This window comes from Homo sapiens, chromosome 1, assembly GCF_000001405.40.
Source record: "Homo sapiens chromosome 1, GRCh38.p14 Primary Assembly".
In the NCBI taxonomy this organism is placed as follows: Eukaryota; Metazoa; Chordata; class Mammalia; order Primates; family Hominidae; genus Homo; species Homo sapiens.
Window position 1 is genome coordinate 10,770,596 of NC_000001.11, and position 26,313 is coordinate 10,796,908.

The 26,313-nt window shown below is 53.1% G+C and overlaps 1 protein-coding gene across 4 annotated transcripts in view, besides 3 other annotated features; it reads right to left on the bottom strand.

Moving 5' to 3' along the window:
• The window catches only part of CASZ1 (castor zinc finger 1), a 160,043-nt gene extending 133,992 nt beyond the window's left edge, over nucleotides 1-26,051 (bottom strand). For all 4 annotated transcript variants that reach the window (NM_001079843.3, XM_017001540.3, XM_047423404.1 and 1 more), the window contains exon 1: nucleotides 25,969-26,051. The gene's annotated coding sequence lies outside the window, so the exon portion shown is untranslated. The remainder of the gene's footprint in view (nucleotides 1-25,968) is intronic.
• Nucleotides 14,456-15,018: an enhancer, noted in NCBI's record as "H3K4me1 hESC enhancer chr1:10845108-10845670 (GRCh37/hg19 assembly coordinates)". NCBI's record gives its function as "activates a minimal SCP1, AML or CMV promoter by ChIP-STARR-seq in primed H9 embryonic stem cells {active_cell/tissue: H9 hESC(primed)}" and the evidence as "EXISTENCE:reporter gene assay evidence [ECO:0000049][PMID:30033119]".
• Nucleotides 15,019-15,579: an enhancer, noted in NCBI's record as "H3K4me1 hESC enhancer chr1:10845671-10846231 (GRCh37/hg19 assembly coordinates)". NCBI's record gives its function as "activates a minimal SCP1, AML or CMV promoter by ChIP-STARR-seq in primed H9 embryonic stem cells {active_cell/tissue: H9 hESC(primed)}" and the evidence as "EXISTENCE:reporter gene assay evidence [ECO:0000049][PMID:30033119]".
• Nucleotides 20,918-21,521: an enhancer, noted in NCBI's record as "VISTA enhancer hs408". NCBI's record gives its function as "enhancer in: forebrain[3/4]" and the evidence as "EXISTENCE:transgenic organism evidence [ECO:0001131][PMID:17130149]".
• Nucleotides 26,052-26,313: the final 262 nt, after the last annotated feature.

Genomic DNA, 26,313 nt, shown 5'->3' on the forward strand with positions numbered 1-26,313 from the left:
CCCTCTGTCCTGCATGCTCCCACTGCCCAGATGCCCTGCACCTAGGAGCCCCGAGCCCACAGAAGATGCTGGGCCTGCAATTTTCCAGCAGCTAGGCCACCAGTGGGACCCAGCTTCCTCCCAGCCCCACCCCATCAGTTCCTGACAGGTTTCTCTGCAGTTTTGCAATCATCACCTAGGTCTACATCTTAAAGAAGGCAGTAGGCCAGGGGGCCATCTGCAAAGTCAACCCATGCCTCTTTTACCTCGGATCACCCTTTCCCACTCCCTTCCAGAAGAGCCAGTGCTTTCAGGATAACGAGGAACACAGGGCCAGCAACCCAAGCCCCAGTCCCGCTGTCTGCCATGGCACGTGCAAGGAGAGACGTGCTTTTCCCAGGAGGGGCGGTCATTGCCCCCAAGCATCTCCTCCTGGGATTGCATCTAGGTTCAGAACAAGGGGGACAAAGACAATTCCCTTGAAAGGTCAGAGATGAAGGCAGAAGCCCCAGCAAGTACTGAGCCCAGCTAGAAATGGAGGCAGGGAAAGTTCCCAGTTGCGCCTGCTTTTTCTCCATAGCGCCAAGCTGGGGGTGCGGGACAGGGAGCAACCGCCCCACTTGGTCTGGCTTCTATGGCAGCTTGTTTTTCCCTTGAGAGGCACAGATTGTTCTGGTTTCAGGCAGGTTGGGGAGGTGGGGGCGGGGGTGGCGGCAGGATAAATGTCCTTACTTAGAAGTTTTTATTATTATTATTATTATGGATTTTTGGTTCCCCGCTGTCTGCAGTTCTGTGTCATTTCCAATCTACCTTCAGTTTCCCTTGGATTTATATATTTATTTTTTGGGGTTGGTTTCGGGTACTTCTAGTCTATCAAACAATCAGCCCTGTGAGGTACGCTGGGTGTTTCCAGAAATTACATCACAAAAAATCATGCAATTAAAGTGTAAGGGAAAAAAAAACATAGCTGTTGCTTAATTTTGTATTTTAATTAGCGACTTATTGTAAACGTAGACTTTTAAAATGGAGGCACCTAAGCAAAGCCAGTAAACAAGTTTTTCTAATGAATTAATTTCACCTCTTTCCTCCTCCTCCTCCTCCTCCTCCTCTTCCTCCTCCTCCTCACCAGCCCAACTGTCACCCTCCAGATTTTCTCTGTCCCCTTATTTTCTATTCCACTTCTTGATCTTTGCCAAACACATATGAGAAAAAGAACACCCCTGAAATAAAATTGGGGATGCTGGCACCCAGGACTCCCCCTGGAACCCGCTTCCAGCCTTGATGGTGAGGATGCTGACTGAGGACCCGGCATGAAGTTGGCTGCTGCAGCCCCTTGTCCCGTCCCAGCCCAGTTAGCTGCTGCCAAGCCCCTCTCGGCCGGCCCCCAGGGAACTCCCCACTCCTGTCTGTGCCCTGATCTCAGCAAAAGACAGAGACAAACCGGGAGCGGCACTGACTGCCAAGGCAACAGTGAGAGGGTGGAGCCACGTGACACCTGGGGGGAGCCTGCAGGAACAAGGTGAGGAGACCTGGAGAGAAAGGAAGGCTTGGGCTGTTGTGAAACCTAAGACACCTCTGGTTGCCTGGAGGAAGGAGGAGAAGGGGCATGGGTGGGAGAAAGAAGAGGCAGTCTGGAGCTAGGGAGAGAGAAGCCGAAATTAGAAGGGTCTGCCCAGGCCACATTGCAGCTGGGAGAAAGAACACATCCATCAGTCCCAGGCACCCCCAGAGGGCTAGACCCAGGCCGCCACCATTGGCCACATGCCCCCATTGGTCTAGAGTTCTGCTCCTTCCCCCATAGAAACTTCCCAGCTTCAGGAGAGGAAGCAGATTGGCCTCTTTCAGCCTTGTTTCTGCGGGGGAAGGCTGAGGATCAGGAGCAGGGTGTCCCTGCTCTCTGCCTAGTCCTGCCATCCTGGAAAGGGCAGACACATATCCAGATATTCTACCACATGGAAGACTCTGGGAAGCTGTCTCTGCCACACATGAAGAATGGATACCACTGGGTGTCTCCAAGTCCCTGTTCACTGGAGGAGCATGCAGGCCCTCCTGTGACCCCAGAAGCTCGGCCAGTTTAACGAGGGCAGGGTGTCCACCTGAGTGCCAGACAGGTGCATGGCTCCTCCCTAAAGCTGTCATCTCCTAAGCCAATGCAGAGACACCATAAAGGAACAGGTTTGCTTCACAGACTCTCTCCCAGGGCAGAACCCCACGCTGGCCACTTTTACTCTGAGCATGAAGAGCTGTATGGGTGGGCTCAGTAAGGGCTGCTCCTGGCCTGCTCCCTCCCACCTCCTCCCCCTCGCCTCTGACTTGAAGCCCAATCTGGGACCTCCGCCTGCCATGACAGCAGGTGGCCCCATGACCACATGGTGGAGGATGGGGGCTCCCGAAGGCTCTAGAACACCTGGTGGCAGAATCCTGGCCCCCACTCACTAAGATTCCCAAGGAAAGGAAGGAGGGGAGGAAGGAAGGACCACAGAGAGGAAGGGGCTGGGTGCCCGTGTCATCGAGCACCGGTGGGAACCCAGACCCAAGCCCACGACAGATCCTGCTGGGTACAGCTTCAATCAGAAAGGAAAGCTCTCATCAAACATAGGCTGGGCAGGGATGTGGGCACTGAGATTAGGGATTTGGAAAACCATCTGAGGAACCTGGCCCTGGGAAGACAGCAGCAGGATTTAATACCTTATCCCAGCTGTCTGGTAAACACCCTGAACCATCCCCACACTCCGTTAGGCAGCCTCGGATCTTCAGGTGTGCCGGCTACGGGCAGGTAGAGACAGACGTGGGCAGAGACAGGAAGGGAGGGAGTGTGGGCTGGGGGAGGGGGCGGGGGTGGAGCTGGCCTGGGAGGGATTGGATGGGTGGCAGCCAAGCCAGACAGTCAGCGAGACAGCTGACAGGTGCAGGACAGTGGGACCCGGGAAGGAAATGGGCGAGCGGGGGTTCCGAATCCTCAGGGGTCTCACGCACCCCGGGGACTGAACATGGTGAGGGGAAGGGTCAAAGTCTTGGGGGCAGAAGGCCTCGGCCTTCTAGCTTCTCAGCATACTTGGCCGGGGGAACGCATGGACCAGGCAACGGGCTCCCCCAAACCAAGCAGGACAAGGCAGCAGGTGGGGGTTCCAGCTTCCAGGGCCTGCTGTGGTCAGACCAGACAGCAGTCTGTGTGTGTGCTTGTGAGGCACCCTGTCCCCAGCTCACACACACACATCCTATGCCAAAAAGAAAACCAAAGCACTCAAAATGGAGCGTCCTTCTAGTCTGGGCTGGGGCTGATATGCGCTGAGAAGAGGCCGCAGGGTGGGAGCAGCCCTGTCGCTGCTCAGAGGGGCCTCACCTCTCCAGAGATGGGTTGGGGAGAGTTCAGAGCAGACGAGTAGACAAAGAAGTGTCTGAAGGTCCTGGCAGCTCCCTGTGGTGGTCCGGAGCAAACCTCCTTAACTCTGATCCCAGCACAGAGGTGGGACCTGAGGGAGTGGGCAGGTGCCTGCACAGAGGCCAGGTGCTCCTGGGGTCCTCCACCGCCAGGCCCACAAGGGGCACTGCACTAATCCTCTTTTCCCATTTCCGTCTGCTTGTGGATGTAATTAGAGTTTTGGGTGGAAATCCACCCGGAGTGCACCCTCCCACCTGACACCGTCGCTAAATCCTTGGATACACACGGTATATCTCCTGACTCTCGGAGAATCGGGAACCATTTCAAAAGCTAAACAATCTACCCCTTTTAAATGTTCTCAACTCTGACTGCTTTCGGCAGCACACTGTCAAATCTGCCCTGGCCTTGGCCAGGGCCAAGTTCAGGGCCTCCCTCTCTGTCCCTGAGATTAGGGATTTGGAAAAAGTCCCACCACCAGGGCCTCCTGTGTAGTCTACAGAGGAAAAGAAGAGGTTGCTGGCCTGTTGCGGGGCTGGGTTTAGAGTCCTTTGCCTTCTGCACATTCTTTAAGCCCCGTGATCCCAAGAAATCCCATCCATAGCCCCCCCGATCCAAAAGGATCACCAGGAGATCCAGATGGAGCATTTTTCTGCTCTATTAACAACCACACAGAGCTCTGGCCCCACTGCTGGAGACTGGCCTGACTCTTGGGTATCTCCCACCACCTGAGTCAACGCGGACCCCTCTCTTCCCCAAGTGTGACCCTGTAGGCCTAGAGGAACCACCAGGAGAGGCTGGAGGCTTGAGCCCTCCCTCCTCTGTCCCAGCGCCAAGTTCCCTGCAACCCACAAGCACAGTCCTGACACTCAGAGCTCCCGCGGTCTTACAGACAAGGGAATGAATCCCCACGTGTCTCCTGCAACCATCTCTGTTCCAGCTTCTCTTCCAGACTCCTCCAGTCTCTCTACTCTGGCCCTGCCAGAATCAACAGTTTAAATCTCTGCATTAAACACACACACACAACACCCCAACAAGGGAGACAGAATACACCGAGAAAACCTCACCAGACCTAGGGTTGGGGCTGGAAACCGGCGACACTGGCTCACCATTTCCCCCGCACCAGGCAGTCGGCCAGAAAACCCTGGGCAATACACACGGCAGACTCCGCCAGACATTAGAACACTTGTTCGGTTCCCTACCCTTTGGAAGCCAGGCCCCCAGTGCATCGCTTTGGGCCATTGCTGCCGATAATTTTTCAGAGATAAACAAACCGGTTTGGATAAAACAAGATCCAACCTGAATTCTTCACCCAAAACTCAAAATGAAACTCTCCTATCACCCCTTTCATTCCCTTCTCCGCCTACCTATAACCATCATCCAGTTCCCTCAGGTTCAGACGACTTGATTTTTTTTTTTCTTTTAAAAATTCAGTTCTCTAGCTTTTGGATTCATGGACACTACAATGTCTGGGACCATTCGGCTCAATGTGAAGGCATGCGGGGGGATTGAGAAAGTCCCGGCCAAGTTTCTCCAGGATGCCTGGGTTGGAAGGGAGAGGGAGAAGGTGGGACCTCAGCTGGGCTGGTTTCTGGCCTAGGTCTTTTTCCCTGGTTCCTTTTTGGCTCAAAGTCTCTCCTCCATGCTCCGATGATCTCTTCAATCTTCAGCCCCTTTCAAGGGGACGGGTGTGAACGGGAGCAGAGCAGTTGGTCTACCTGCCCTCTCTAGGCACAGAGGGTAGGGTTGCTCAGTTACCCTTAGGGGTTCACCAGGTTAATAGAGGCCCGATGTCAGGACAAGAAGGAGGCCAAAGGGCCGAGAGGAAAGATGAAGCCCTGAGGTCTGTGGCCACGTGTGTCTCTCTGCCAGCTCTGTGTGTGACATGCCCTCCTACACCTAGACTCATTCATGCCTGACACACTCTCAACCAGCACCCCGTCCCACCCAATCAGGCCCCCAAGTACCCTCCCGCTGCAGCCTCTCCGTGTGATACTGTCTGCTTTCTGCCCTGAGCTCGTCTGGAACCTCTGTCAGGGCTCCCGCCTCCCAAGTCCCCATCAGTGGGGTCTGCTCGGTCCCTGTAGCTAATTTACACCCGTCAGGGTTTAAAATAGCAGAGGCATAAATGAAAAGTCCAATTTCTTCAAATTTGCATTGTAAAACCATCCTTCAACTTCCTTGAAATAAATTTTACTATTTTATTAGTGCAAACAAAATGGTAATAAAACACTAATACAGCGTCTTGTATCCAGGGGAAGAGCTAAAATTAACATAGAGCGAGCAGTGTTTGCTATTACATTCAATTACCTTTTTACTTGAGATTTACATTCTCATCCCCTTAATCTCCATAGTAGTGGCTTCAAAATCATTCCTCCCAGGCTCTGCCCTTCCCAAGCCCCCACAGCTGGAAGCCAGGCCTCCTGCCCAGATGGCGCTCACCCCGGGCATGGAGCCTGCCCCTTTCTCCACAGCTGCCTCTTGTCACAGGGTACCACTTCTCTCCCCTGCTTGTAATTGTCTCACGTCTTGGCCTCTCAGTACTCGGCAAGTTCACACCAGAGGGCTCTGACACGAGACACATCCAGACAGGCAGTGATCGATAAGCAGGTGCATGGGGCATGGGTTGGGGGCACTGCCCACCGAGCCTGCAAAGGCTCTCCCTGGTACCAGCTAGGGGCGGGAGCTCCTGGGAGTCCTGGGGAAACTGGCATCTCTGGTTTGACAGGTTGTGGGAGAGGGTTGGCTGCATGGCACAGCTGCGGACTCCAGACGGTGGCAAGAAGCTCCAGCCATCCTGAAGTAGGAAGGGGTGACGGCTCTATGGGGGCCAACCCTCTTGCTCATCTTGGGAGGTGGCTGCTTGCCAGCGATGGAGATGGGGCTAGAACCACCTCACCTTCTCACCATCCAGTGCTCTTTCTTCAACAGAAGCAGTCCCTAAAACCAGTCACCCCCAAACACAGCCCCACCATCTGATCCCCTAGGAGGGTCCCTTTACTTCCTGCAACTGGAGGAAGCATCATTCCATGTCTGGAACCGGCCAGCCTCACCCTGAGCCAGTGGGGAAGATGACCGTGTTTCCAAATGGCTCAAATACTGGGTCCTAGTTCCAGATCTGTCACTGACTAGCTGTAGGGCCTGCGGCACGAAGCAACCTCCCTCTGGGCCTCAGTTTCCCCACCTGTAAACCAGGACAATAACCTGTGAGCTGCCTTCTTCACAGGAAGGGTCATAATGATGGAACGATCACACAGGTGTCTCTGAGCCCACCCGAGCCTCGGAAGCTCAGCTGGGAATCTGTTCCTGAGGACAGGACAAGGACCGCAGGGTTGGGACCCCTATGAGGACCACGGAGAGGGGCGTCCGAGTCCTGGGCCAGGCCACCTCTGACCTCTGTGACTTCACCCTTCACCCACAAGCCTCCTTTCTCTTATTGGTCAAACCACCGCATCATTCCCACAAAATCCTCTGAGCTCATGCGGAAGGAAGAATTGCCATTCAGCCCCGGATCCGGCCAGAGCACAGTCTCACTCAGGGTAGGCCTGGGGCAGGGGACCAAGTGATACGCGAAAAACAGACGGAAGACCCCGTTAATTTTACTCTGCCCGGCTACTACAACGAGGGGGAAAGAAGCGACACACAAAAACACAACCACACACACAAACACAATCTCATACACAACCACTTACACTCATTTTCACACACAACCACACACCATCTCACACACAATCTCACACACACCATCTCATACAAAATCACACACAAAACCACATACCACGTTACAATCACACACAATCCCATACACACCCACTCACATAATCCACATAAAATCACACACAATCTTATATACAGCCACTGACACAATCCCACAACCACACACAATCTCACACACTCTCATATACAATGACTCACGATCTCACACAATCACACAATTTCACACAAAATCTCACACACAGGCACACACAGTCTTCCACACCATTTCACACTATGTCACAACCACATACAATCTCATACGCAATCGCATACACAATCTCATACAGTCTCATATACACTCACTCATACAATCTCACACACAATCACACACAATCATACAATTTCACGCAAAATCTCACACACACAATCTCATAGTCACACCATCTCACACAATCTCACAATCACAATTTCACACAAAATCTCAAACACAAGCACAATCTCATACTCCATCTCACACTATCTCACAATCTCGCACACAATCAGACACACTCTCACACACAACCACAATCACAATCTCATACACAATCACACAATCTCACACAGCATCTCCCACAAAAATCTCACAATCTCACACAATTCCACACAAAATGTCACACACAAGCACACACTCTCACACAACCACACACAATCTCACACTTCACCTCACACAATCTCATAAACAATCTCATACATGATCACTCATACAATCTCAGACACAATCTTACAATCACACACAACCACACACATCCTCATACAATCTCATACAGAATCACACAATCTCACATAGTCTCACAATCACAGTCTCAAACACAGTCACTCACACAATCTCAGACACGATCACACGCAAAACGATTTACACACGAACACAATCTCACACACACAAAACAACATATGATCTCACACACACCCATTCCCAACTCCCCTCTCGCGGTCTTTCTTCCTGAATCTGATTCCTAAAATGTCTTCCAGTGGACACGAGGAGGAGAGCTCCCATCCAAACTGTTCCCAGGCAAACGTGTCCTTGCTCTTGATCCGTGTGGAATTCCAAGTCCCCCTGGCAGAGAGCGGCTTCTGGGACTCTGGGAGGGAAGAATCTTCTTTAACCCCAGTGGAAGTGCAAGCAAAGGCGGTTGGCAGTTGGGCGTGACTGCCCAGAACACCAGGGACCCGCCTGGAGGTCTCTGCTCCCAGCCTGACCGCTGGCTGCAACCCTTTCTCCCTGGGCCCCTACATCCCACCTCCCATCACATCCTAGCCCAGAGGTGGGTATCACCAATAGCTCTCCTGGCCTGCAAACAAAAGGCCAAGACCACTGCAAGAAGCGAAGGAATCAACCCCACGAGCTAAATGTAGGGAGTTTGCTTTGGTTCACATTTATTTTTTCCTTCCCACTGGTGAAACAAAAGAAAGTTTGTTGTTGAGGTTCAAACATTTCTTGGGCCTTGTCCGAGTCTTACCTTGTTTTTCTTTTCCTTTCTGTCTCCCCCCCAGCCCCACCCCGTCTTCCCTGCCTCCCCACCTTGAATAAATAAAGCACCCGAAGCTGGCACCGGCTGGTGAGGAAAGTACAAACTATCTCATAATTTTATAATTTTTTTTTTTTTTTTTTTTTTAGCACACTGGCCTAGGGTTTTGGGCAAAGGACAAAAGCTATTGTTGCACAGCACAACACGAAGGCTGAGTCACCGATACGCCTCAGCTTCTCGAGATCTCATAGGTTTCTGTGGCTGGCACAGCCGGTGAGCTCAGCGCCCTGCGGGGGCCGTGGGTGCAGGCGCCCTCTCGCCTGGCGCTGCCCCGCCCCCTCCCCCTTGCCAGGGCTCCCTGCCGGGCCGACACGTTGGCTTTGTTGGTTTTTAATCATAGGGGGGGAATTTAAATAAAATGTTGTGAAATAAAAAACAAATCACCGTAGTCCCACCACCCTAACGCTATAATTTTCATTTTGGAGGATCACCTTTCAAGCGTTCTACAGAAGCATTTGGATTTTTATATAGTTTCTCTCGCAGCGTTCACAGCTCTTGGCATTTGGTATAGTTTTTCACTCATATAATAAACATTTTTCCATGTTTCGAAACCATCCTCGGGATGATAATTTGTACAGGTGACACCGTATTTATTCCGTCGTGATATTCCTGGGCAGACCCTATGAAGTGAGAAGGGGAGAACTCTCTCGGAATTGAATCGTTTATTTGCAAGATTCCAGCCAAGGTGGGGGCTTTGCCCGAGTGACCCAGATCACCTGGCCCTTGGGGATCTGGCCTGGGAGTGTGTACCTGGAAGAGGGGCAGAGGCTCCACCAACACCCCGCCCACCCTGAGCTGGGCCAGGAGTGCCCTGGCCCTTGTGCCCAGAGAGACACGGGTTCCAGCAGGAGCCCTCACCCTCACGGTGACCTTCACTCCCCACAAACTGCACTTCCTCCTTATAAAGCGCCCTGGCAGCAAAAGGCCCACGACAACGCTCTGCTCTCCATTTTTATATCTGAATATCTCAAAGCACTTAGCAAAGACTGTCATTTTCTCATTACCCCAAGGAGAGGAGGTCATTCGGGAAAATGGTACAAATATTCCCATTTGTCAAAAGCAAGAAGGAAGTGAGTTAAAAGGAAAATTCTGCCACTTAACTGAGCAAAAGCTACCCAGGAGAGAACACTGGGGTCTCGCCTGCCTCTCCATTCAGCCAGTTTGCCTTCTCCAGTGCAGTTTCAGGCACCTCATTACCAAAAAGATGGCTCAGAGCCAAAACCAGGTTTCCATTTTGCCAAGAATCAATCCCTCCCCGGTGGCCCCAGCTCAGGAGACCCTCCTACCTCATCCAAAGTCTCAATCAAAACCATATTCTTTTATGATTATAGTTATGTAAAATACATGTTTAATAAATATATACAGTCACCAAACGGGGGAAAAACACTAGACAGAAATACACCAGATACTAAACAATGTTGTCTCATGATAGTTAAGTTAGGGGTGCATTTTTTTCCCTTTGATCTATTTTCAAAAACTGTTTAAAATATGGTTCTATTTTTCCGGTGCATAGGGAAAAGCGTGCATTTCAGAGTCAGATCAACCAGCGTTGGAACCCTAGCTCTCCTTTAATGAGCTGAGTGAACTCAGGTAAGTGACTGAACCTCTCAGAGCCTCATTTCCTGCCAGGTACAATGGGAATCGAACCACTGCTTGCCTTGTGTCTTTCAATCCCACAAAGAGTCACAGCGCAGCATCTGACACACAATCGGCCCTCAGTAAATGTCTATTTCCTTTCTCTTTTAATAAAATAAGAATGTAAAATCAACTCAGCTTCCTTGCTGCCCCTTAGGGACAGAGGCAAGACCCTTCTCCTGCACCCCCTCTCCAACTTCATTCACATCCTTCACCTGTCTCCCCGCTCCCCTACTCGCCCCACCCCAACAAACCCCCAGGACACAGACCTCAGGATGCTGGTCCTGGCTCTCCTGTGACTTGCCTGGAGGGCGAGGAGGGGGCTCTGGGAGGAGAGAAGCTCCTCCTTCGACCTTCTCCACTAGCACAGGCCCAGGCCAGCCCCTCCAGGCAGCACACAGGCCTTGTGCAATGACTCGGAGGACATGCAGGGAGATCCCTGGGTTTGTGCCTTCTTGGCAGCTACCCTCTGGGAACAGGTGCCAGGCTGCAAAGGCCACCTGCTCCTGGGGAAGGGCAAGGGCCACACTCCCGTCTGCGAGGAGAAGCCAAGGAGAACCAAGATGGCGCCAGTGCTTGGGAGTCAGCTCCTCCCTGGGCAGGCAGTCCAGGCCAGCCCAGGGACTGCCACCTGCACGTCCAACAGCTCAGCCCTGGGCATTGCAAGCCTTTCCCTGCTCCCTCGAGGGCTCTGTACTGGGCGGACACGTTTGCCTTGCTATTGGCGAACATGCTCCAACAGACTTGTGGTGGCCACAGCCTCTGGGATGACGCTTCAGCCTGGCCTTGGGGGTCTCTGGAGCTCAAACACAGGGAGCCCTCTGCCTTACTGCCTTCATGATGACAGATGGGGAGGGTGGAGTAGAGACAGTACTAGTAGCAACGATAGCTACCCCTCATCACCATGTGCCAGGAGCCCTTCCAGCGTCATTTCATCTAATCCTCACAGCAACCCCAAGTGATAGGTGCTATCGTGAACCCTCTTTTACAAGTGAGAAAGCTGAGGCTGAGAAGAGCCCACAATATTCCAAAGTCAGAGTCCCAATAAGGAGAGACTAGGGATTTGAGCCGAGGACTTTACCACTATCCTCCCAGCATAGCTCCCCAAACAAGCAGACTCCACCAGCCTTTTCCAGAAAGAGTCCCCTGAGGGGCCTCCCTGGCCACTGGGGGCACAGACACCCCCCAGGAGCAGGTTGTAATTCTGCCAAAACAAGGGCATCGCTGTGCCTCTTGCCCTGCAGAAATAGGAAAGACGCTACCCCTCTATAGAGACAGGTTGGTCAGGCTAAAGAGTTGCTATGTCACAAATGAGGAGCACGACTGGAGGGGTATTTGAAAGGAAGCAGTGTTTCCCTCCCTGCAGCTTCTGGGAATGCTTAAGTGGGGAGGTCTAGGGACACGGGGCCATTGGCGAGAGGGCCTGGTACTAGTAAGTATCTACTGACTACGGTACTGGTGTGGACACTGTGGAATGGAGAATGATGGGGGCAAGGCCCTTGGCATCCATGAACCCTCAACATCGAAATCCTTCTTTACAAACCAGGGATAAGACCAACTTAAAATGGTGTACTCTTTCTTTTAAAATTAAAATAGGTCTCTAAGAGCAGGTTGGACACGGGGAGGACACCAGACAAGGTCCCCACGGCATGAGCCACCGACTCCCCAGCTGCCAGGGACGAGGTCCTGGGACTGAGCGGCAGGTCCCATAAAAGCTGGTGGAGCCCAGCAGGGTGGGGGCCGGGTGGGTCACCCGGGACAGACAGTCTCCAATCGTGCTGAGCACAGCACGTCCCTTCATTCAGGAACCCAGAGTAAAATGTACAGCTGGGTCTAGAGTTGATTCAGCCCTTAACTCATTCGGGATCGCTGGCGGAGCCACTGAGGCGGGAAGGGGAGTGGGCCTGGTCACCTGGGGGAGGGGGCTGGGCCGTCCCTGGGAGGGGGGAAGGCTGGGGCACGACCCCTGCTGATAGTGTGTGATACGTGCAAACAGAAATCATAATTCTTTGCAAAATCCCTCTCAAAACCAAACAGGCACTGAGAGTTGAGGGAGGGATGAGGGAGTGTGTGTTGGGTGGAGGGTGGGGGAAGCTTGTTTTCTACCCACTGCCAAATTCTCATTTACTGTCAGCTCCAATCCATTTGGAACTCACTGACTCAATTGCCTTTTCACGGGGAAAGGAGCCGGCACAATGCAGGGGACTTTTCAGCTTCACATTAGCACACAGGGCGCTGGGCAATGTCCGGGAATCAACACACACGGCCCTCCCGGGGCCACCGGCCACCCCCGCCTCCAGACAACCCAGCCAGCCCTGCCAGGGCCACATCTGCTCAGCCCTGCTTTAATATTTGGGGTTTTATTTATTTATTTTTAACGGCTAGGCCAGTGGAGAAGTGTGTGTGTGTGTGTGTGTGTGTGTGTGTGTATGTGTGTGTACATGTGCACATGGGCAAGCGTATATGTTTTGGGAGAGACAGGGGCTCTACCTCCCAAGAAGAAGGGCCTGTAAGAGTTCATTCCAGGGCAGTTCCAAGTCTTCCTTTTGCCCAAAGAAAGGAGGGATGGAAAGAAGAAATCCAAATTAGGTCTCCAGAAGGAAAGGATGTGAGGGGGTGGGGGTCACTGAAAGTAAATCTGGAAAGGGTCAATTATGGATAAATCCACATTTGCTGGGAGAGTGTCCCTAAGAACTCCACAGGCCCAAACACTATTCAATAATCATTATGAAAATAATATTGGCCTGGTGCAGTGGCTCATGCCTGTAATCCCAGCGCTTTGGGAGGCCTAGGTGGGTGGATCACTTGAGGTCAGGGGTTCGAGACCAGCCTGACCAACATGGTGAAACCCCATCTCTACTAAAAATACAAAATTAGCCAGGCGTGGTGACGCACGCCTGTAATCCCAGCTACTCAGGAGGCTGAGGCAGGAGAATTGCTTGAACCCGGGAGGCGGAGGTTGCAGCAAGCCTAGATCGTGCCACTGCAATTCAGCCTGGGTGAAAAAGCAAGACTCCGTCTCAAAAAAAAAAAAAAAAAAAAAACCTACAATTATAATCATCAAGATAACAATGGTGGTCCCCATTTTTCAAGTGCTCACCCTGTGCTCTCTACCAAGTGCTTTCTGCGCCACCTCCATCAATGATCACAAGAACCCCAGCGAGGCGGCACTGCTGACTGCCTGCCCAATTCCACAGGACTGGAGAGGTAAGACCCAGGCCCACCGTCACAAAGGTCCTAAGTGGGAAAAGAAGGGCTTAAGCCCCGTTCTGCCTCACTCTAGACCAGCCATCTCACCCTGCCCTGGGAGAGAGGAAACCTGCAGCAGAATCAAAAGAGAAGATGTCCTGGCACCACAGAGACCTTGGTCTTGGGAGCCCTCACGACATCTGGGTGTGCCCCCGCCCTCCATCTCTATCACTGTCCCATGGGGGGGTCCTCCATTTAGCCCAAGTTTGAGGGAAGCATCCCTCGGAGGGAAGCTTCCAACAGAACTTCCTGCGATGATGGAAATGACCCACCTGAGCTGCCCAGCACAGGACCTCCAGCCGTACGTGGCTGTGGGGCAGCTGAAATGTGGCTCGTTCAAGGAAGAACCAAATTTTAAATGTAACTTAAATTGCCATGTGGGCTAATGGCTACTGTATGAGATGGTACAGACCCCACACCCTCCAGTTATCTCCCTACCTCCCAGCCCAAGAGCTATTTTGTTTTGTTTTGTTTTGTTTTTTTGAGAGCGAGTCTCGCTCTGTTGCCCAGGCTGGAGTGCAGTGGTATGATCTCAGTTCACTGCAACCTCCGCCATCTGGGTTCAAACAATTCTCCTGCCTCAGCCTCCTGAGTAGCTGGGACTACAGGCTTCCACCACCATACCCGGCTAATTTTTTTGTATTTTTAGTAGAGACGGGGTTTCACCATGTTGGCCAGGTTGGTCTCGAACTCCTGACTTCAAGTGATCCACATGCCTCAGCCTCCCAAAGTGCTGGTATTACAAGCATGAACCACCGCACCTGGCCCCAAGAGTTATTTTGGAAATAGACTAAAAGCATCTAAAGACAGGAGGATGACCTGCCATGAGAGGCCCCACCTCAGTCAGCAGGCCCTCTCCTCTGCTCCTTCACGGCCTTTCAAAAATTACCAGTCAGCCTCCAACTTCTCTGCCTGCCTGCCTTCTTGTCTTTCTTTCTTGCTTGCTTGCTTTCTTTCTGTCTCTCTCTCTCTCTCCCTCCTTCCTTCCTTCCTTTCCTCTCTTTCTTTTCCTTCCTTCCTTCTTTCCTTTCTTCCTTCCTTCCTCCCTCCCTTCTTTCCTTCCTTCCTTCTTTTCCTCCCTTCCTCTCATTCCTTCCCTTTCTTTCTCTTTTCCTTATCCTTATCTTCCTTTCTTTCTTTCCTTCCTTCTCATCTTTTTCCTTCCTTTCTTCCTTCTTTCCTTTCCTTTCTCTTTCCTTCCCTCCCTCCCTTTCTTCATTTCTTTCTTAGAAAAAAGCATCCGTTTAATTAGATAAATCCTTCAAGCACGTGGCCTGGAGTTCGTCATGGAAATTAACCTGCTCCCAGATCTCAGATAGTGAAACAAGAACCGGAGTGTTTTGGCATAGCACAGTGAAATGGGAGAGGCCGATGGAGTTTCATACACCTCATCTTCCATAAGTGCCCCTCGCCCCTCCAGTGCCCCCCGCTTCACGGCCTCATGCCCTTGCTTCCTTAGGTCACTGCCTCCACCCCACCTCTGCTTCTCCTCCTGGCCCCGCCCTGCCTGTCTCGTGGCCCTCCACCCAGGCCTGGGGAGCACCCATCCCTGGGGCAGGTGGGAAACCTCAGCTCCATCCATGTCAGGGGCTAAAGGGACAACCGTTGTCCTCTGCCCCTTGGCTAAGCACCGAGGCTCTGCGATGAGCTCAGGCCAAGACCCAAATGAGGCTCAGCCCACAACGGCTGCTTCATCCTCCTCCTGCGCCCCTGCTATGTGCTGCTCACTAGCAGTGTGCGTTCCGTAAAATAAAGCTCAAAGTGGAACCCCAGCAAATGTCAGCTGGGATCCTCTCATCTAATTCTCATGGTCCACGTGACGGGAATTCCAAGTCCCATTTTACAGATGCGGAAACAAAGGCTTCGAGGAATGAATCGTCCAAGTGGAGGAAACACAATTCGCCTTCAGCTCAGCCTGGCTCCTGATCCCACGCGCCGCTCCCTCTGCCAGCCACACAGCCTCCATCTGCGAGGCGCTCTCGTGGGCACGACTCTGGGATTGCCAGCACCCAGAATTCAACTCACACTGGCAGAGGCCACTGGCGCCTTGGGCCGGTTTCCAAGATCTGCCCTCACCCCACCCCACCCTGGCCTTCTGTCCCAAACAGCTCCCATGATGACCCACCTCACCCCACCGAGCTCCAGGAACACTTGGTCTGGCCAGTGTGGGAAAGAAAGAGCAATGGCCCCTGCCCCACTTGAGGGACTGACTCCGCATGTGGGCAGAGTCTTCATTCTCATCCCCTCCAGACCCAGCAGCAAAAACACCAGGAGGACCCCAGGCAGGCCAGAGAGGTAAAGGACAAAATGCAGAATCTGTGTGCAGCACCACGTCACCCTGCACTAGGGGCCCAGCTCCAGACAGACAGAGAGCAAGCTCTCCCAGTTCCCCTCTCCATGGCAATCCCTGATAAGCCGCAAGTGTTTCCGTGTCCTCTCCCGCATGGGTCTGTAACACACACAGACATGTGGTCCTAACATTTCACACGTCTTAGCTCGTGTAACCCTCACATCAGCCCCACGAGGTAGGTACTATTATGCCCATTTCATAGATGAGGCACCGGCCAGTTAAGTCACTGATGAAAGGTCACACGATTTTGATCCCCAGCTAACTCGCTCCAGAATGCACCATCTACACTATATACAGCTCCTCAAATGAACCTGTTGGCTCCAGAGGCACAAAACAGTAAAGCACACCCCATATCCTGAATGGGATCCCCCATTCTGCCTGAAAGGCAGCCCCCAAATTCACCCCCAAGTTCCCAATGATAACAGAACCAACCTGCAACCTGACACAAAAATGTAACCCCAGCACCACCCGCGACACCCAGGCTCACGGCTTTCTGGAATGGAATTCACAGGGGTCCCCTTTGAGACTGATACCATATGACATAAAAACCGGCTCCCCTGACCTTGGGGACACCTTGCACTTGACAATGCCAACCATGATAAATTCTTCGTTACGTTTAATTACTTTAAAAAGGACTTTCATAGCTAAGAGCCCAGCCAACCATCAGGACACCCTTCCGAGGGTGGTACGGTCAGAGGCCATTTGACAAGAGAGGAAACTGAGGCCCAGAAAGGTAAAATGACTACCTAAGGCCACACAGTGATTTACTGCAGAGCCAGTACCAGAACAGGGTCCCCAGATGCATAGCCCATCAGGCCACATCTCGCAAGACCTTAAGTGTGGGGCTCGCAGAAGGGTAGGGGAGTGGACAGTTAGACCTGAGTGGAGCTCGGGGCCACCCGTGTCTCACCCCGTCCCCCGATCCCCAGCCAGAGATGCTGGGGCCTGACCCATGGTCTCCCCAAGGATCAGATTTCCCCGAAATTCCCGAAGGAGCTGTGGGGACGAGTGGGCCCAGAAATGGCCCTCACATAGCGAGCGGCACAGCTGAGCTCCCCGGGGGCGAGGGGGGCGGGCGGAGCTGGAGACGCTGGCACAGCCCTCATAGGTACTCTGCCAGCAATTAGTGCTGGGGAAGGGTGCCAGCCTGGCAGAGCTCATTCCCCCACCCCTTCTTCTCATTTACACACGCGCACGATCACCCGCACACACACACACGCATACACACACGCTCACCCACCCAGAGACCATCAGCAAAGAGGCAGCGAGGCTTCCTTTTGGTAAATCTCATCAGCAAGGCACACGCAGGGCATGCAATTTGGCCATTACTGCTCTTAAACAACAGAAAAGCAGAATCCACCCGCCATTAACCCATCCCACTCTCCCTCCGGGCTTCCCACCGGCTCAGGCACCAGCCTTCACCTCTGACTCCCACACATCCCCTTTAAAAGCTCCCCAGAAGTTGCTTTCCAAAAGAAACACAGAGTTTGAAAAAATGTTTTTTTTTAAAACTATGATAAGTCCAACCTGAATTGTGCTATTCTCCATGCTGACATCTCTCCACAGAGCAAACTATCCAAGGTTCAAACATGACCTTGCCTAAGACCGTTGCTCAAACATCTTAGAATCCCAGAGAACGTTAGCTGGATACGGGGATGTTCTCATCCAGAACATCCCTTTATATGTGCCCAAGAGCTCTGCCATTAAGGGGATGTATCCATTACTGTGGATAGGGGAACCGGGAGAGCTGCCTTTGGCTTGGTGAGGGGCATCGCTACCTGAGCAGGTGGGGTTCCTCACAGAGCAACCTGAGTGCTAGCCCCGATCCACCTATGGGGTCCCCTGGGTGACAGTTTGACAGCACTCTCCTCTCCCAGTGCAGAGGCAGGCAGGTGGGAGTAGTGGTGGGGACCGATCTTGCCTCCTCCCTCCTGCCCCCCTGCCTCATCCTGGAGAATTGGAAAGAAGCCCACCAGAGCAGGGGGCCCTAGAGGGTCCTTAGACTGCATTTATAAGATCTGCGAAACCCCTCAAAGTATAAGCAACATTTATGCTTACGAGATTTTTTTTATTAAGAGGATTCTCAAAGGGGGCACATGGATTCAAAAGAAGGGAAGAAGCACAGCCCAGAGACTGCCCGCCGTCAAACCAAGGCTCAGCAGTGCCTCACACCCAGGTGGCCAAGGATGGAACAGGCGGAGACCACAGGCAGGACTCCAGTCGTCTTGGCAGCAAGTGTCCCTGACCGCTGCCTCCTCACCCGGGAGCTGCCCCGGCCTCATCCTTGCTTTGCCTGGAAGCTGGTCACTGGCAGGGCTGGCCCGGGAGCTGTGCCATGCCCTGGGCCAGCGCCCTCCCTCCTGTGTGCCAGGGCTTCCTGCCCAGCCAGCAGAGGCATCGCACAGAGGAGCCCACCAGTGGGGACAGAGGGGAAGCCAGCAGCCGCTGCCGCTCTGCAGAACCTCGCAGATCCTCTAAGCCACCTAGTGTCCAGAGCTGAGCTCTAGCCACCACTCTGTCCCTCCTGCTTCTCACAGTGGCCACTGCAGGGGAGCCCAAGGGGACAGTAAGGGGGAGCGTGGGGTGGGACAAGCCTCCTCTAACCCTACCCCCACCTGGGCCTTCTCCAGGGACTTGAGGCCAGGGGTCAGGAGCCAAGCTGTTTGGGGACATGGCGCCCAGGAGAAAGCAAATACCCTGTGGCCCCTGCCCACACCCCCCACCCAAGACAGGGCTGTTCCCATCACCCCTGCTCCTTGCTCCTAGCAAAGCCCCCTATCTTTGAGATCCCCTGGGTCATCTCAGACAACCCATCCCACCTGGGACATCTTGGGGTCCCCCCACCCCAGCCTCCAGGCCTCCTGCTGAGCCTCCCAAACCCTGGGCCTGCCACTTCCCCAGGGCCTCTGCCTGCCCCCCGCACCCCCTCCTCTGCTGGCTCTTTTCTCTGTGTCCTCAAGACTCCTCTCACCTTGAGAAGTGTTAGGATTACCCAGCATTTACACTCAATGCGCTTCCTTATTCCTTAAGACTTATTAAGAATGATAATGAGTTCCGAAGGAGCGACACGTCCCTGTCTCTCTCTCTCTCTCTCTATCCTCCTCTCTCTCTCTTTCTCTCTCTCTCTCCCCGCACCTTCACTCTCTTTCTCTACGTGTCTTTTCCACCAAAGACACATAGGACAAATCCAGACCAAAAGGGAAAAAATTTCCAACAATATGGAAGAAGGGCACTTGAGAATTTCTATTCAATAAACCCATCTCTCTTCTTCCTTCTCCCTGGTTGTCCTCAATTATTCCAAGTAAGAAAAAAAAACTCCCCCTTCCCTTCACACTGTCCAGGCCACCCCTCACTCTGCCGGACTTTGAACAGGGGGAACAGGAGAAGGGCCCAGCTTGCCTGCAAAACCTCGTTAACGTGCAGCTCTTAAACGCTTGATTAATTTTTGCAGAATTTACGACAGGCTTTAGCTTTTTTTCCCCAAGCTGTGGCCTCAGAGCCACAGCAACTTAACTTGGTGAACTCAAGGGGGCCCGAGGTGGGGGTGCCCCCCTCCCCCAGTGGCCTCCTGCTGCTGGCACACCAGGCAGCCCTGCAACCAAAGGGAGCCACGCAGATGCCACCGCCCAGGCAGAAGACAGACCCACTCGCAGAGCGGCGTGGCAGCCAGAGGAGAGATCACCAGGCAGCCAGAACCACGGCTGACTTCTGGCCATCTGGGACTTTTTAATTTCAAAATAAGAAAGCCAGTAGAAAGTGGACAGAGAAGAAACCAACACGGGGTGCTGGCAATGATGCTTCCAGCCTGCACCCTCCCAACCACGCCACGTATCCCGGGCACAGGGACCGGCCTTATCGGTCTGCCGGGCTGCCCTTCAGAGAAAGGGAAGAACAGATCCTAATGAAATTACGGTTTTTAAAATGTCTATAAATTAAATCTCTCTCCTCTCTCCGTGAATCTCCCCCTGAGCTCCCTCTCCTCTACCAGGCTTGTTTGCCTCTCTTCGGTTCCCTCTGCTCATGTCTGTTTTTCTGATATAGACATCAAGAGGTTACGGGCTCAATTACAACTCCGCTGGAGTCTCAGCATCAGACTGGCTCGGCCTTCTCTTCTCCTCTTCAGAAACAAGATACCAAATAAATCTCTCTTCTTTATATTTTTATTTTCAATGCCAAAAGCCTAAAGATTCATTCCGTGGACTCACAGCCTTTTTGAACTTCGTTCAGATGGTGGGGAGAATATTCTTTTTAATTGTGTGTGAGTACAACATAAATGCTTCTCTCTTTATCTCGTTCCCCCCTTGTAAGGACACACACAAAAACCTTGGCTATGCCTGACATTTTAAAAAGGGGGAGAGGATGGTATAAATGTACTTAATGTATGTCTATAAGAGGGGGCGAGCGAGCCCTGGAGAATATTAGTAGGACATCTAGCACATTCTAAAGTTTGGGGGGGGACATCATGAGGAATCTTATTAGCAAAGGTCCATTTGTAAAGGGTAGATCATAAAAGGTGATTTTTTTTTTAAAAAAGAAAAAATTTGCTTCTACCTTCCCTAATACTGCCACGAGATGCAGAAGGGGAGATGTGCCATCTATATAATTTTACATCCGAAGAGACCCTCTTCCCATCAAAAAAAAAAAAAAAAGTTGAAAAATCCAAGTGTTAGTCAATCATCAGAGCTGTTGATTCCCGAGAAGAAGAAACCAGCTCTGAGTTGTAGGTCTAAGGGGAAAAGCAAAACAAAAACAAAAACCCCACTATACTTCTGGAAATATTAACCAGTGGGGATTCCAAAAGCTACTTTTCCTGGAAAAAGCACTTGAGACAAAGGTCGGAGAAAGCGGAAGCTGAAGGTGAAGCAAAAAGAAAAACTTAGTCTTTCCAATTAACTAGACTGGGAAAAAGAAGGGAGGTGGGAAAACACATTACTACCAACTCATTAATTCTTTCCTGTAAACAATTTAATTAAATTCTGCTAAATACAGGAGAAATACTTATTTTGGAGTGCTTCCCCCAACCTCAAAAGCAAATTCCTCCAGGTTCCTCCCCCCGTCATGCTAACACCTCCCTTGTCTCCAAACTACACAACCTTTCAGTGGGTTTCCAGCCCAGGCGTGGACTGCACTGCTGAGGGCTGCGAGAATGACAGCCTCATATGTCTGAAAGCTGACACTTCAGCCTTGAAAAGAAATGGGGGAAAATAAGCTGTTGACTTCTTGGTTAAAGTATTTTCTTGTTCTACTCATGTTCTTATGTCACTGGGCTAAAAAAAGAGAGAGAGAAAAAGAGGGGGAGAGAGAGAGAGAGAAGAGAGAGATGACTTTCCTTGAATGATCTGTTTAACCTAAGCCAGAGGAAAAAAAAGAAAGTCATTAATTACTTATGTGAGCTATTGCTTCAGAAAGACAATAAACCTGCCCGGTCGCCATGGATATGACATATTTGCTCTGAAAACAACACAATAATTAGCAAAGGGGAAAGATACAAGGAGAATATGCAAACTCCTGAGTTTAAAGCCACAGTGCTCTTTTCTACTCGTAAGCCTCTGTTCTGTTTGCAATCCAAATCAAACAAATTTTAAAAATATAGCAAAGAGGGAAATAATAGGAATGGTTCCTCTCGCCTCTGAGCTGAGCAGCAACAACCACTCTACCTCCCTCCCTCCAATATAAAATAATATAAAAGAGAACCAGGGTGGCAGAAAGAAAGAAAAAAAAAAAAACTCAAGTATTGCCTGTTTTATTTCCTATAGCAGGGGTGGAGTCAGTTTTTTTTTTTTTTAAGTGTGCTCTTATTTAGCATTGAACCTTCTGGCCAGATATAAATTTATTTATGAAAGCCAAATGCTCTGTACATGGCTTACCCCTCCCCCCCGCCCCCCCCCCCCCGGCCCCGCACACAAAGTAAATGGAAATGTGGAGGGGTGGGGTTGGGGGGGGTGTCCAGTTGAAAAAGTAAAGCAGTATATTCAGAAAGCACCATCTCTATGGAAGAACATTCACTCCCCCTACCTCCAAGAAAATGCAACCCCTGCCTTACTTTAATATTAAAAATGCATTAAATGGTTCTACCTACAACTTAGTCCCAAAGGATCATTAGGAAATGCAATCGCTTTGTATCATATCTGTCAGCGTGATAAATATCTGAGTCAGAGTCAGTTTGCAATTTTTCAGTGTCACAAAACAAGATAATTTTTTTCTGTCTTCCTTTCTTAATTCACTGCACCGCCTCCCCACGCCCCCACCCCCACCCCCAACCAGTCACAAATCTACAGAAAAATACCTGGGCAGAGAAGAAAAGGAGAAAAAGTTGATGTACTCTCACATACCAGACAGAGGTTATCGATATTCTCCCAAAAAGCAGGCAAAATTGAACTTTAAAATATTTGGGTGACAATTTTCCCCAAAAAATAAATAAATAAATAAAGCACTCCAGTAAGTTTGACTAAAAACTCCTTTTCCCCTCTTCCCAGAGGCTAATTTTCCTAAAACAGATGGTCAGGATCTAAAAGAGGAGCAAATATACCTCAACCCCCACAGGCAGAGAAATCTAACTTTGAACTTCTTTTAAATTAAAAAGGGGTGGGGGGCAAGATAAACTATTAATAAGTGTGAAAAAAATTAGCTGAGCTACAAGTTTTGTTTTTCTTATTAAAAAATTATTTAAACATAAGGGGAGCAGATATAAAAGGGAGTTTCATATTTAACTGACTTTCTTATTTTTTTAAACAATAGCTTTTTTAAAAGATTGGACTCTTTGATCTTGAAAGAATTTTGCTCTTATATGATGGGGGGAGGAAGGGGGTGGTGGTGAAATGATCTGTTTTAAATGATGATGCAACTTAGAGATCAAAGCCTTCGCTTTCTTCTAGCCATAATAAGCTGTACTTGCCACAAAGCGTAAGGCTCCCGGGCTGGGCTCCTCTCCTTCGTAAGAAGGAAATAAAATGCGCCGAGACTCAGAGCAAGACTCCAAGTCTCGGCAAGGTGCAAAGTCTAAAAAACAAACAAACAAGGCAAGGGGAAAAAAAGAGGAAGGCACTGCCCCTTTAAACGTTTTAGTGCATATGGAGTTTGATTTCTGAAAGAGATCAGTTTAACATCTCCATAGAAACCAGCAACAGATTATCATCAACAGAATAAATAACTAGTCTAATAAATTAAACAGGAGGCATAAGATCGCTGGAAACCTGATTACTGAAGTTCAACAATATTCCCCATAAACTCTCCTTAACCGCCTCTAAGGTGGCTAACAAGAAGGGGGTGGGTGGCGGGGGGGCGGGGCGGCGATCTCTCCAATTCGCCGGACTCTGGGGACAGAGATGGTGGCTACCTCCTGGAAAGGAGAAGTTCTCCACTCTGCCCTGAAGAGGGTCCAGGAGCTCCCGCGAGGGGCACACCCTAAAAACCGAAGTTTGGGAAGTGGGAAAGCGGCTGGGGGTCGGGGGAGTGGCGCGGGCGGCCGGAGATTGCGCAGGTCGCGACGCCCGCCCGGGACGCACCGCCTGGTCGCCACCAGGACGCAAACCCGGCGCTTTGCGCTCGGGCGCCGAACGGCCCAGCGCCCCCTCCGGGCACGTGGAGCGCAGCCCCGGCTCAGCCCCCGGGGAACAACTACCCCCCTCCCCATGCCCGGCGCAGCTGCTCCTGCTCAGCCGGGACAGCTCCCTTTAGGACGGCGACGTGTGTGTGTGCGCGTGTGTGTGCGTGTTTGTATGTGTATGCGTGTGTGTGTGTGTGTGTGTGTGCGCGCGCGCGCGCGTCGTGGGTTGGGCGGGGGGACACCAAGATTATCCGGCGATCTGTTTTCCAGTCCCCTCGTGCGCTCTCACCGCGCGCCTGTACCAGCTCGGAGACGTCCTAAATTTACTAACTTTGCCCCGCGACTACCAGGGCCTTTTCCCCCTCGCCACCCCCTGAGTGTACCGGGTGTCGGCGGGACAACTACGCACAATGAGGGCCGCACCCCCACACTCCACTCGGTCAGAAACGCACACTCCGCCCCGTGGCCCAGTGATCCAGGTTTGGGGGAGCTCCATACTCAGGAGAGGCGCTACTGCCGCTTTTCCGGTGGGCACGCACCCGCACCCGCACCGTAGCCAGCGTGGCTGGAAGGAGGTCCTCGCCGCGCCCAGAGCCGGCTTTCCAAGCTGAAGCTGGGGCAGAGGAACTTGTGTGGAGGAAGAGGGGGTCCCCTGCCTCCCTCAGCGCTCCACTAGCCTCCCCCAACTCCGGACCCGGGTCGGGGATGACTTGGAAGAAGAATCTGCGCCCACCCCTTAGAGAAAAATCTATTATTATTATCTTAATCTACGCCCCCAAAGTGTCCCTCCAGCCGTGATTGACGGCGCATACACCTGTTCCCTTCGCGGAGGAGCTTCCAGCGCCGGGGACAGACATTCGCCCAAACGCTCCGCAGCGGCCCAGCAACCGCCCGCCCGCCCGCGCCCGGCCAGCCCCCGCCAGCGGCCCCAGCGCGCCTCTGCCCGCACCTCGCCACCCCGGCGGCCGCCCCCTCCCCTTCCAGACCCGGCTGCCCGGCCCGCCAGCTCCCGGCAGTGCTGGCTTCGGAAAGAGAGAGAAAGAACAGAAAGCAAAACTTCCTGGCGGCCGACGGCCATCAGCTGCACATTCTGCAAATGCCACCGAGTAAAAATAAACCGGCCGCCGCTCCGCCCGTCCGGCTCACCCCGGGCGCACGAATCGGCCCCCTGCCCCGGGAGATCCCTGACTCGGTCTGGCCCGATCCCCCATTCCCGCGCGCCCCCTGGATCCCCGCTCCCCGACGCTCCTCCGTCAGTCACCACGCTCTCCTTTGCCGTTAAGCCGGACCCTAAGTGACCGGGAAACCGGCTCTCTCCCTTTGGTGTTCCCTGCGCCCCCACAAACTACTTTTTTCTCTGTCCTTCACCAGGTGCCTATTTCAGCCCTGTGCCCTTGGATTCAGGGCTCCTCCTCCCCAATTGTTGAGCTCCGAGGTCACCCTCAGCCCACCCTGGGGGAACAGACCCCGACCGACCCTCTCCCACGCTGCAGAGCCCCCCCGGAGCGCACCACTCTACCAGCCCGCTAGCCCGCCAGCCCAGCGTCCCACGTCCCCGGGCGCAACTTCTCTTCTGGCGCACACAACAGCCGGCAACAACTCGCCCGAACTTTCCCCGGGACCCAGGCGGGCTCCAGCCGACAGCCGGGCAGCTCTGGGCCGATGCCCCGGCTCCCCGTGCCCTGTGTTGCCAGCCCTTCAGCTGGGGAGGCAGGGGGTGGGGTGGGGAAGGGAGTGAGGAACGCCACTTGCCGCGCCTGGAGCAGCGCACTTGAGATAAACTTCCCAGGCACAGATGAAAAAGGGGGCGCCGCTCCCCCCATCTAAGAAATCTCTTGCCTTCGATTTCCTATGGGGGATACCCTTTGGCACCCCGCGCCTAAGCGAACACTGCCTACCTCTGCTGGCAGCACCTACACCCGGTATCCGGGCACAAGAGCCGGCTGGAGGGGTTCCCCACCCACCCCTTCCCATGGGCAAAGTCTTGCAAAGTCACCCCAGGCACCCCTCACCCCGCCTCCTTCTCTGCCCTGGAGAGCGCACGACCCCTCTGCTGCTGGGGGGTGGGGTGGGGTGGGGGTTTAAGGGGAAGGAGTGATTACCCGGTATTGGAGATCACCTGCCCCCCCGGGAGCCCACAGCGCGTGGGGCGCCCCCACCCTATTTGCAAAGTCCTGTGCTCGCGCCTGGCACCTCCCTCTCTTCTCCCCTACCCCGCCACCCCCTCAGTTGGAGTAAGCGACCCCCAGGAGGAGCAGCCCTCCCCTCCCCCGGAGCCGCGCGCCGGGCATTCCCCTGGCCACGGCAGGCAACGCGCCGCCCCGCGCCCGGGTGCCAGCCCTCCGTGCCCCCTGCCTCCGCACGGCCGGAGTTGGGTGGCAGCCGCCGATCGCAGGCTGGCTGGCTGGCTCGCTCGCTCGCTCGCTCGCCCGCTCCCTGCTGCAAGCGGCAGCCCCGGGGGTGGGGGGGGTGCACCGGGACAGGGGGAGAGACGGGGAGGCGCCCCGGGAGGCCCGCGGAGCTGGGGGACGTGGGGGGGCCGCGGCGGAGGGAGCGCCGAGTCTCTTACCTGCACTTGGGGCGGCTTTGGGTGACTTTCCAAGTCCGGGGGAAAAATGTGTGTGTGTTTGGGATGGAGCGCCGCGGGCGCGCATGCGCTGCCCAAAGTTGCCGGATCCCGGATTTTTCGCTCCCAGTCTCCGCTCTCGCCCGCTGTGATTATGGAATTCTCCGCGGCCGGGCGGGCGAGTGGGTGGCATGCAAAACCCGGGCCGGATCGCGGGGCCGGGCTCCGCTCCACCCTCACACCCCCAGACCTGCCCCTCCCGGATCCTTCCCACCCACCGCCCGGGCTGAGCTCAGCGTGTGCGCGCGGCGAGTCGCACGGCCTGCGGAGGAGCATCTGAGCGCTCGG